This window comes from Homo sapiens, chromosome 3 (assembly GCF_000001405.40).
Source record: "Homo sapiens chromosome 3, GRCh38.p14 Primary Assembly".
In the NCBI taxonomy this organism is placed as follows: domain Eukaryota; kingdom Metazoa; phylum Chordata; class Mammalia; order Primates; family Hominidae; genus Homo; species Homo sapiens.
In genome coordinates this window covers 85986286-85999139 of record NC_000003.12, presented here as the reverse complement: position 1 = coordinate 85999139, position 12854 = coordinate 85986286, and the positions used below count along the sequence as shown (strand labels likewise).

General features: G+C 32.7%; 1 protein-coding gene across 17 annotated transcripts in view; it reads right to left on the bottom strand.

The window, feature by feature from the left end:
• The window catches only part of CADM2 (cell adhesion molecule 2), a 1115441-nt gene that overhangs the window by 75290 nt on the left and 1027297 nt on the right, over positions 1–12854 (bottom strand). Inside the window, exon 9 of one of the 17 annotated variants that reach the window (XM_047447872.1) lies at positions 4126–6095. The exons of the other annotated variants lie outside the window; for them this stretch is intronic. Within the exon in view, the coding sequence (XP_047303828.1) occupies positions 6016–6095 (80 nt within the window). The 3' untranslated portion in view covers positions 4126–6015. Of the gene's footprint in view, positions 1–4125; positions 6096–12854 lie in introns of those variants that run through there. 17 annotated transcript variants of the gene reach the window in all.

Genomic DNA, 12854 nt, shown 5'->3' with positions numbered 1-12854 from the left:
CTAAGAATTTCCCTCCCTAGACTCAATCCTACTTGTTAATTAGATATCTTCACTTGGCTATTGCAAAGCTTTTTAAAACTCTGCATGTTTAAATGGAATACATTATTTTTTTTCCATAAAACCCTTACCCCTTATATTTCTTACTTTGATAAATTGCACCAAACACCCAGAGACCAAAGCTAAAATCCTAGCATCAGTTCTTTGGTATCTCTCATTCTTTAAAATAAAATTTCTTACTTAATTGGTTAAAAAATCTGTCAATTTTACTTTCCCAAATAATATCTTGGAACAATTGTCTTTTTACCATGCCTTTGGCCACTGTCTTTCTTTAAGCTCTCATTGTTAATTATCTAGATTTCTCCAATGGCTTCTTGTCATTCCTTTCTTTCTCAATCTTCCATCCATCATACTATATCACAGCAATCTTCAAAAGCCTAAGTACCGTTTTATCATTTCATTTAAATTGTTTCTCATCACTTCCTGAATAGGCTCTAAACTTTTGAGTGTGACCTACTATATATCATATAATTTACTTATTTCTATCTATAGAATAATACTGAATATTCAATCAATAAGTGCATAGATAAATATATATTTATTTTCACGACTGCTTACCTTTTATGATTTACTCTAGGCAAACTAAATGTGTACTGCTCTCTTTATATATTTTTGCTGTCCTCTCCTTTTTCTTTGCATATCCAATTCCTCTTTGTGTTTGAAGACATGTATCTTGCAAATAAAAATCATATTTAAGGATCAAGGAAAGCCGTATTATTCCTGAGGTTTCCAGAGAGGACAAAATTGTAACTACGAGAAATGTCATAAAACTATCAACATTTAGAAAATTAACTACAGAAAAAATAAAGTATCAGTCATGGAGTTGTTATATCACAGTATGAAAATAGTTTTTCAAAATAGAAATTAAAAAAATACATATGCTATATCCAAAATCTATGTATCTATGATTCTCTACTCTTACCCCCAACCCTGCTACCCCAGCATTTTAATTGTACCAACACCTTCTATGTCTGGTGGGATTACTCTATTAAAAATCCTCTCTTAAATACCCTCTTCCCTCACCTCTCCTTCTAAGTCAGGTGTTTTTTCTCAATGAAAACCTTTTCATGGGTCATCCATGTTGCTTATCATACTACATGTTCAATGCAAAATAAAAGTTCAAAAAAATTACAGAATGAATTGATGATAAATGATACATTTCTTCTTCTCAGAGCCTAATTTCACTGAATTTTTTGATATAGTAAATTTTCTCCTGACCAAAACGAAGACAGACCATGGAATTCGGTGACTCTTCCAAAGTTCTGTCCCTATAAAGAACCTGCTGCAAAGTCAGCTTGCATTTCTAGATGGTGTGTTCATTTCATCTTATAACAGCAAGTTAGAAATGCATGAAAAACAAAGAACTAAAAATGAATTGTGTAGGAAACGTGAAAACATCATCTTTTCCCTATTTTATACTATTATAACACAATTGCACAAGTATCCCAATGAAATCTAAAATTCATCAAACATAGTGGGATAAAAAATTCACTTTACTAAATTTTAAGATAGGTTGTTTCCAAAAAGATGAATTATTATTTTTATTTGACATTGTCTTATAATAGTGATGTTTCCATTTTCCCAGTTAAAGAAATCAATGATTTGTGGCCAGTAGTAGTTCAAGGAAAAGTTTTAAAATAAAACAGTGATGAGATTACTACAAATTTGTAGTAATTTGCAATACACTAACAGCTCCATATCCATAATTATGTTCCTCAGCTTATAGATTATGAATGAATAATCAAGGACACAGTATTAAAGTTCATGGTTCTAATAAAATTAAGTTATAGTTATGCAAATAATACACAGGGCTTTTATTCTGCAGGCTTAAATTTGACTGCTGCTCAGGCAATTATGTTTGTGTTACTTTTTTGGTGTGTCTCATAGATTAAACTTGAGAAGTGATTCCCTTTAGTTTTTGAACACCTAAACCTTCAAATATAATTTAAACAAAACACTTTCATTTTAGAGCCAAACTGCACGGAGAGATGAAAGTGACAGCCTTGACCTTGAATAGATTTTAGCAAAGTAGTTTATGGAAGACAAAGCAATTACACCTCCACACTGACCGATGTATCACTTAGCACTTCTGATGAGATGAGGCTTTCAGGGCCAGAATGGGGATAGAAGAGAAAGTTACTAGACTGGTAGGAATGATGAAGAAGTGTAAGAACAGGAATTTCAAAAGCATCAAAATAGGGATTGTTTATCTTGTTTTAAGACTTGGTCAAATAATCACTAAAACTAGATGTTTAGGAAAAGCCATTAAAATAACTAATCTCAATAACTGTCTTCTCAGATTAAAAACAAGTTTCCAAAAAGGTTGGAATGGGGATGTATAGTAAATAATGTATAATATACATCTGCTGAATTTGATGAAGAAGAATTATAAAGTTTCTTAGAATATTTCAGAACAATAAAGTTTTCACTAGATCAAATGTATTATCTATGTATTATTAAAATAATATTAGTAACACCTCTGCACATTTATAGGTGCTTCCAGAAAAATATTATACGTATTGTTTTTCTTAATTTGATTTTCTAAATTAACTGTTGTACTATGAAGAAGGATTTACAGAATAGTAAATTGGATTATATGTATGTGAATTTTAGTTCCAATTTTGCAACTAGGTAGCATGCGCCTGTAGTCCCAGCTACTCGGGATGCTAAGGCAGGAGAATCACTTGAACCCGGGAGCAGAGGTTGCAGTGAGCTGAGATCACACCACTGCACTCCAGCCTGGTGACAGAGTGAGACTCCGTCTCAGACCAAAAAAAAAAAAAAAAAAAAAAGTAAATGAAAAAATGGAAGCTTTTAACTTGGCAAGGCCTTTCAGGCTTTAATAAGTAATGATTCTTAGTGGCATTGTCTGAAAGTAAATTTAAATAATATAAATCTTCAAATTTTGATCCCTCTGCTTTTGTCTTACAATATTAATGAACAAAATCTTATATTTTATTTTATTTTTATTTTTATTTTTTATTTTTTTTTTTTAGGCAGAGTCTTGCTCTGTCGCCCAGGCTGGAGTGCAGTGGCACGATCTGGGCTCACTGAAAGCTCTGCCTCCTGGGTTCACGCCATTCTCCTGCCTCAGCCTCCCGAGTAGCTGGGACTACAGGCGACCGCCACCACGCCTGGCTAATTTTTTTGTATTTTTAATAGAGACGGTGTTTCACCTGGTTAGCCAGGACGGTCTTGATCTCCTGACCTCGTGATCCACCCGCCTTGGCCTCCCAAAGTGCTGGAATTACAGGCGTGAGACACTGTGCCCACCCCGTATTTTATTTTTAAAGTCTTCCTTTCTTCCATCTCTTCTGAGTCTTGTAACTTGAACTATGTATAAAATTAGAATATATCAACTGAAGACTTTCTATATAAAAAAGAATACCTATCACTAATCATTTTGGAAGAAAGGATGATCCAGGAGAATAATATTTTAGGCTTCTTATAGAAATAAATAGTGTATGGTCATAAGTAAATATCTTATTTTCTCTGGGGTTCCATTTCTTCACTTAGAATACGATGCAGAAAGTAGGTTAAATGGCTTTGAAGGCTGCTTCTTTCATTCTGTTGTACTATTTTAAAATTTCCAAATGAATTTAAAATTATTCAGGGGTATTATGACAAACTTAGCATATGATGAATATATCATCATACCTTGAGTGTCACTTAAGAATAAAGTTTTACATTGAGTGACTTCATGTTATGTAGAAAATCATTTATACTATTTTTCCACCATAATTTTAATGCAGACCTCTCACTTTAATTGTAAATCAATACCAATATGACTTTTTAAAAGAGAACATTCCAAAATCTGTATATTGTGTCATGTATTAAATAACACATTATTGAAATATTAAGATGTTATAGAAATATGGAATTTTGGTTAAAATATTCCATTAAGTAAAGAGGCAAAGTACTATTTTACCACAATGTTCATTATTCTCATAAATGTCTTAGACCTTAAAACACTAACAGCTGTTGTCTGTTTGTGTAGCCTATATTTCATTTTATTGTGCTTCACTTTGTTGTGCTCTGCAGATAATGATTTTTTTTTTTTTTTTTTTTAACAAATCGAAGATTTGTGGCAACCCTGCATTGACCTAGTCGGCTGGCACCATTTTTCCAACAGCATGTGCTCATTTAATGTCTGTGTCACATTTTGGGGATTTTGACAATATTTCAAGCTTTCATCATTACTATATCTGTTACAGTGATATGTGATCAATAATCTTTGATGTTTCCATTGTAATTGTTTTGGGATTCCACAAACCATGCTCATATAGGAAGGCAAACACAATTGATAAACGTGTCTGTTCTGACTAATTTACTGACCAGCTGTTTTCCCCACCTCTCCCTCTCCTCCAGGCTCCCTAGTTCCTGAGACATTGACATTAGGCCAATTAAGAATCCTACAATGATCTCTAAGTATTCAAATGAAAGGAGGTGGCACACATTTCTAACTTTGAATCAGAAGCTAGAAATGATGAAGCTTAGTGAGGAAGGCATGCTGAAAGCCACGAGAGGCTGAAAGCTACACGTCTTGTGCCAGTCAAGTTGTAAATGCAGACAAAAAGTTCTTGAAGGAGATGAAAAGTGCTACTCCGGTGGACATGTAAATTATAAGGGAGCAAAACAGCCTTATTGCTGATATAGAGAAAGTTTAAGTGGTCTTGATTAAGACCAAATCTGCCACAGCATTCTCTTAAACCAAAGCCTAATCCAGACCAAGGCCCTAACTCTCTTCAATTCTGTGAAGATTGAAAGACATGAAGGAGCTGCAGAAAAAAAGTCTGAAGCTAGTGGAGGTTGGTTCATAAGGCTTAAGAAAATAGGTCATCTTCAGAACATAGAAGTGCAAGGTGAAGCAACAAGGGCTGATGGAGAAGCTATAGCATGTTATCCAGAACATCTACCTAAGATCACTAATGAAGGCAGCTGCACTAAGCAACAGCATTTAAATGTAGATGAAACAGTCCTCTATTGGAAGAAGATGCCATTTATAACTTTCACAAGTAGAGAATAGAAGCCAGTGCCTGACTTCAAAGCTTCTAAGAACAGATTGACTTGCTTGTTAGGGGTTAATGCAGCTGGTGATTTTAAGTTGAAACCAATGTTCATTTACCATTCTGAAAATCCTAAGGCCTTTAATAAATATACTATATCTAATCTGTGCTCCATCAATGTTATAACAAGGCCTGGGTGTTAGCACATCTATTTATAGCATGTTTTATTGAATATTTTAAGCTCAATGTTGAGACTGAGACCTACTGCTCAGAAAAAGAAAAAAAAAAAGATTCCTTTCAAGATATTACTGCTCATTGACAATGCATCTAGTTACCCAAGAGCTCTAAAGGAGATGTATAAGGTCATTAATGTTGTTTTCATGCCTGTTAAACACAACATCCATTCTGTAGCCCATGGATCAAGGAATAATTTTAACTTTCAAATTTTGTTATTTAAGAGATACATTTTTTAAAGCTATAGCTGCCAAGACAGTGATTCTTCTGATGAATCTGTGCAAAGTAAATTAAAAACCTACTGGAAATGATTCACCATTCTAGATGTCATTACGATCATTTGTGATTCCTGGGAGGAAGTCAAAATATCAACACTGGCAGGAGTTTGGAAGAAGCTTATCCCAAACTTTATAGATGACTTTGAGACATTCAAGACTTCAGTGGTGGAAGTAAGTGCAGATATGGTAAAAATAGCAAGATAACTATAAGTAGAGCCTAAAGATGTGAGTGAATCACTGTAATCTCATCATCAAACTTAATGGATAGGGAGTTGATTCTTATGGTGGAGCAAATAAAATGATTTCTTAAGCTGAAATCTACTCCTGGTGAAGATACAGTGACCAATGTTTTTATTTTGCTTTTATTTTTTGTTTGTTTTGAATTTTTTGCAGAATCAAGGTCTTGCTATGTTGCCCACGGTGGTCTTGAACTCCTGGCCTCAAGCAATCCTCACACCTTGGCCTCTCGAAGTCCTGGGATTATAGGCATAAGTCACTGTGCCTAGCCCTGTGAAGATTGCTGAAATAATCACAAAGGATTTAGAATATTACATAAATTTAGTTGATAAAGCAATGGAAGGGTATCAGAGGATTGACTTTAATTTTTAAAGCAGTTCTACTGTGGATAAAATTTCATCAAACAGAAATCGCACAGAAATTTTCAGGAAAAGAATAATCAATCAATGTGTCAAACCTTATTGTTGTTTTATTTTAAGAAATTGCCTTACCACTCTAACCTTCAGCAATCACTCACTGATCAGTCAGCAGCCATCAACATCAAAGCAAGATGCTCCAGCAGCAAAGAAATTACAACTCACTGAAGACTCAGACGATCATTAGCATTTTTTAGTAATAAAACAACTTTAAATTAAGGTACGTACATTGTTTTTATGGACATGATGCTATTGCACACTGAATAGACTATGGGATAGTTAACTTTTATATGCACTAAGAAACAAACAAAAATGTGTGAGACTCATGATATTGTAATATGTGCTTTATTGCGGTGATCTGGAACTGAACCCATGATATCTCCAAAGCATGCCTGTACTTTAAATATACACATGAAAACTTAAACTTATCTGTATTCAAATGTTTCACTATAGTTTTATACCTAACAACAAATGCAAAAAATATTGTAAAATTATTATTCTTATAAATTTAGAAAAATAAAATGACTCCATATATTAATATTTTCATATTCAGAGGAAGGTCATTAAAACTTACTAAAAACTTAAGAAATACAGAATTACAATTATTGACATATTAAGATGATCATGACATAAATGATAAAAAGCATGCAAAATAAAAATATTTCACATCAATTTTTTTGTATAAGCAGTACACATGCATATGTTTAAAATAAAATCTCTGAGAATATTTGCAAAATGTAACAGATTATTTCAATAATGCAGGATAAGGAAGTCTCTTTTTTATTTTGTTTAGTATTTTAAAAGCTAATTTTTCTGTGATGAACAATTATTTAAAATGAAAAATACACTAAGTAAGAAGCGAAAACTTTTTGGAATTTAACTAATGTGGTTTTTCTGCCTAATCTTGAATATGTTTAGATAATATCCCAAACATTTCATAGTTATTTAATTTACTGAAAAAGTTTTAGTGTATTTCAATCAATTGGATTTAGTAATGATTGTTTTAAGTCAAATAAGCGACTTCATAGGTCAATATATCAAAGATGAGTAGTGAGTTTTATAAATCAATGATAGCAAATGATAATGAAATATATTTTAACACGAAAATGGTATCAATTAATATTAATAAGTCCAAATTCCTTAAGCTAAATCGATATCCTTAATAAATTTTTATAGTAATAGCTTCTCGTATTTAGAATATCAGCCATATTATGATAATGACTGAAAATTGTAGTCCTTACTTATTTTGATGCTCGTAATAATTTTAGAGTTGGAGAAGCCAAATCTTAAACTATAACTTGCATATCATGCACTTGGCATCCAAACCAGATTATTTCTGATACTAAAGGCCATTACCTTAACTTATTATTGCAATGGGTGTGTTAATATTTGGCAAGGTAGATTACTTATAAATGGCTTACTTTTGTTTAAAAATTGTTTTTTATTTATTTGATAACTGATCTCATTAAATTGAATAATTAAGAATTACAATGCAATTCTGTTTTATCCTACTATAGAAGAGGCAAAACTTTATCTCTGCCTTCTTAGTCTTCAATTGGGCCTGAGAATTAAGTTGACATAAAACAAACTAAACAGAATAAAAGAATAAATATTTGTTTTACATGTATTTGGAAGTCATCACGGAAAATGAGGAGCCAAAGAAGTGAGAAAACCCAAGTGATTATACAGTAGGTTGAATAAAGGATGGCCATAGTGCAAAAATAATTAAAATGTGTGGGGGGATAATGAAGATAAGAGTTATTTTAACAAGCTGTGTTTGTACAGATTTTTCTTAGCCTTAACTCCCAGTCCCTGTGACAATATTTCTTTTATGCTGCTACAGGGATTGGCATCTTTCCCACCAGGGTTTATCTCCCATCTCTGGTGATAGATTGTTCCTTTTCTCCTGTTAAAGGGAGGAAGGGGGAGATCAGTGTCCTTTCTCTACCTACTGGTTCTCAAGTGCCTTTAGTTCAAAATAATCCTTATGACAAAATGGCATTTTGGGGGGTTGGCATAATGTGCCACACTTAACTACTTACTTGAAATCAAGAGAGACATATTCATAGCTTAATTTTCTAAGAAGCCTCGCATGGCTTTAAAGGATGGTCTATCTACGATAGATTTCAGCCTTCACCTAGCAGTTGCCAGATAATCTCATTGATATTCACAAAAGAACAAAGTCATTTTTATCCTCTGTTTTTTGGATGGGTAATTTTAAGAAAATTGTGAATAATTATTATAAAAGCTAACCCTTATTATTTATTGTGAACCAGCCATTGTTTTAAGCAAGTGAAATGCATAAACATATTTAATTTTAGAAATTATAAGGTTAGTATCTACTAACAAAGCAGCCTTATCAAGTTCCATAATGCGTCCTCTATCCTCTAGAGTCTGTCTTTTCCCAACGCAGCCTGCAATAAGCAATCACATACAGATGCGCCTAAATTTATGATGGCGTTATGTCCAGATAATCCCATTGTAAGTTAAAAATATAAGTCAAAAATGTATTTAATACACCTAACCTACTGAACATTACAGTTTAGCCTAGCCTACCTGAAACATTTTCAGAACACTTACATTAGCCTACAGTTAGGCAAAATGATCTAACCCAAAGCTTATCTTATAATAAAGTATTGAATATCTCATGCAATTTATTGAATACTGACTGAAAGTGAAAAACAAAATGGTTGTATTGGTACTCAAAGTATGGATTCTACTGACGTGTATCACTTTTGTGCCATCGTGAAGGCAAAAAAATCTTAAATGAAACTATCTAATTTGGAGACCATCTGTATTAAAGTGAATTGTTAAGTGTTTTTAAGTATTTCCATTTACCACCATTTCTAACTCCATTATTAGTCTTCTTTTTTTTTTTTTTTTTTTTTTTTTTTTTTTGGACATGGAGTTTCTCTCTTGTCGCCCAGGCTGGAGGGCAGTGGTGCGATCTCAGCTCACTGTAACCTCCCCTTCCCGGGTCAAGCGATTCTCCTGCCTCAGCCTCCTGAGTAGCTGGGATTGCAGGCGCCCACCACCATGCCCAGTTAATTTTTTGTATTTTTAGTAGACACGGGGTTTCACCATGTTGGGCAGGCTGGTCTTGAACTCCTGACCTCAGGTGATCGCCTGCCTCAGCCTCCAAAAGTGCTGGGATTAAAGGCGTGAGCCACCGCGCCCAGCCACTAGTTTTCTATTATAGACTTGTAGTATGTATGCCTATAGGAGAAATGAAAAACTAAAATATAATCTGACATGTAACTGCTCTGAGTAAAGAAGTTGGGTGTCATATTTGGAGCACACGTATCTCTGTTCTTCCTTCTCCATTTGGTCTCCAAATCCATCTTTCGTCCTGTTTTGCCCTGTTCTGTGCTCTAGAATGCTGACTTCTCTGCAATGACCTTGATTTTCAGATGAATTCAATTAACAGAATATCCTATTGAAAGGCAAGAGAAAAAAGTGGTCTGAATTTTGGTCCCCTGTCCCCCAGTGTCCTCGTTTTCTTGAGGTTCTGATACTGGCTGTGTCCTTGCTTGACTGCTGCTCCTTTTAAGTGGTACCCAAAAATGGCTCCAGTTTTTCTTTGCTTAGGATAACTTCACTCACTTCCTTTGGCTCTTTTGGCCTAGTGCTGCTAATAGCATCTTACTGTAGCCAACAGTTCTCTTGTGCTTTTCCTACTTTATTAGTTTCCAAAAACTGCCTGTCCTTCTGTTAAAAAGTCTCCTTATTTTACACACTTTGGCTCCACCCCTTTGAGATGGCCATTAGTTTCCTGCTGACATCCAGAGTAACAGAGTGGAGGAATGGGGCTTAAAATTAATATTTTTAAAAGATGACTTTAAGAGAAAAAAATTGTACTAAGAGCATTGTACTTTACCCAGTGTAAACCAGACTACCCTAGAATACCATTGTCCTTCATTATAGAACCCGCTTTTTAAATATCAAAATTGGTTTAAATGTTTTTGAAAACACATGCTTCTCAATGACTCTGATGTAATTTCATGTTAGTTCACAGTTGCTTTCTCTTTTGCCCATGTAAACACTCATTGTTCAGCCTTCTTTGCTTACCAGTCAGTAACAAAACAGCTCTGGGCATATTTGAGTCCATCTCTTTTTTCTAAGATGAAAAATAAGTGGACCTAAACTAGGTATTTTAATTTATTATAACTGAACCATTTGAACAGAATTCTCTGGACACAAACGTAATTCTTTAAACAATATTGGTGAAGAGAGTTTAATTTCTGTTCTTACCTGTTAGCATTTATAGTAACTTTATTGACCCTTTCTTTTTTAACTCTGTTAAAATCAAAATTTTAACTGTGACACAGCTACACGTTATTGATCTTGACAGGTTTTTTCCAATAGTTTAAACCTGTGGACTCACTGGGGCAAATTCTTTTTCTTAGTCGTTTTTCTCAATCATTTAATAGATATATTTCTTTATTTAAGAAACAGTGTTGTCATAGCTTCGCTAAAAGCAGTTCTGATACTAAAACTGTATAAATGTTATGTACATATTTCAGAAGGTATTCAGAAAAATCTGCTTCCTTGTCTTGTAGTTACCTTATACACACTTTCCATCAAGTAGCTTTTAATTTTCTGGCCATAGCTTAATTTAAATGAGTATAGAAAACTAATGGGGGATTATTTGAAGTCTAGAGAAATAAGAAACTACTGTATTATTGAAGCAAGAGATGTTTTAAAATATTACAATTATCTGAACACTTATTGGAATTCCATGAACTCCCGAAAGTTAATAGATTGTATTAGACCCTTCTCAGAAGTCACGCTTTGTGGCATTTGCTCTTATTTATTGTCCTGGCAGAAAGTTCCAGCTGAAGTCAAGGTCATCTTCTATCCCAAAGTTGGTATAATTAGTATCAATTCGGTGTTTCACCAAGCTTATACAGGAGGTTATTAACTGTGTTTCATGTGGAGTGTCAAAGAAGCAAGGGCAGTGCCTGCAATCTTTTCAGCTTCAAAGGCACAGCTTGTAAATTTAATTCACTGGTTAGTAAGAAAGATACAGCCAGTTTATTAATGATTTTTTTTTAAATTTAGAGATGTTCTAGAAATACATTTACTTATATATGTAGAATATGCTTCTTAAATATAGAACAGATTAATAATAACTCACTTTAGCCTCGATATTTCATAGGAAACATAGTTTCTGAAATTATAATAATTATATTTAATTATTTATATATTATTTTTATTATATTATTTTATATAAATATAAATTTATATTATAAATTATATAAATATAAACATATTTTATTATAATATTTAATTATAATAATTATAATTTATTATAACAATTTTATTTATTTTAACATGTATATTATATAAAAATGAATTTTTTAATGGTTTATACTGGGGAACTTTTTTTCTTTCTTAGGGATTGTTTTTCAGAAAACATATATACTGTTAGATTATATTAAATCTTGGGTTACTACTATAAAATCAATTAAGACACTTCTAAATGTAGAGCAGTGAAAATATATTTTCATTGCTATATAAATAGACCTGTTTATTTAAAAGAAATGAAAGCTAATAGAATGAAGATTTCTGTTTAAATTGATGGAAGCTGAAGAAATAAATAAGTTTAAAATGAAACTTTAAAAAATGTTTGATGTTTTAAATTATGCAAGTCACAAGAGTGCCCTTAGAAAATAGAAGAGAGCATAAATGTTCTGCTTCCTTTAATAGGTAATAGTGGAAAGAAAATATAAATACAAGGTTTTCTCAGATATTTTCCAAATGCAGCAAACAAGTCAGTAAATACTTAAAGATTTTCAAATTGTGTCAGAGTTCAACTTCATTCAAGTCAGATGGAAATGCTCAATTTAGTTTTGGAAATGGTTATATATAACCAATGATATGTTATATATGTTGATTCTAATAGACCAAATAAGGTCTATTAGAATATAAATAAAAACTTTAGCACTCGATGCTAACCTGAAATAACACAACTTGATACATTGCAACTATTCAAATATTTAGGTCCATGGCTAACTAAAAATCCTGGACCCCCAAGCCAGTATTCCTACCCACATCCTGCCTGCAGCCACTCCAAAAGCATGTACGATGTGATACTCGCAGCAAGGTTGAAAGTACCTCCACCTATAGAACATATATGGTGCTTGTTCCTTAAGCATTTCTACCTTGTTTTCACTATGAACTATTTTAGATATTTAGTTTTAAAACTTAATCAACTAAACATAATCATGATTGTTTTTTAAAAGACTAGTGAAAATTAAACTATTTTTGTACCCTAAACATAGAAATCAGTCTTTTTGTAGATAAGCAGGTTTCTCTATATGGACCATCTGGATATTGAATAATTACTTAATTTTTGTCAAGAAAAGAAACCCCAACATATTGACACTTAATTTTTAAAAGCTCACAACATTGTGCAAATTGTGTTTTATTACCACCAATAAAACAAAAAAGATTTTTAATAGCTAAACACTCATAATAGAATCTCATAAACAACTTCTTGATTTGCACACTTTGGGATTTAACTGTGTCAAGATGATATATTCTACTACTCCAAATGTTCTATTTGAGTACATTTATGGTGATTAACTCAGAGCTATAATGATTTTATTCCATTCATTTTTTTC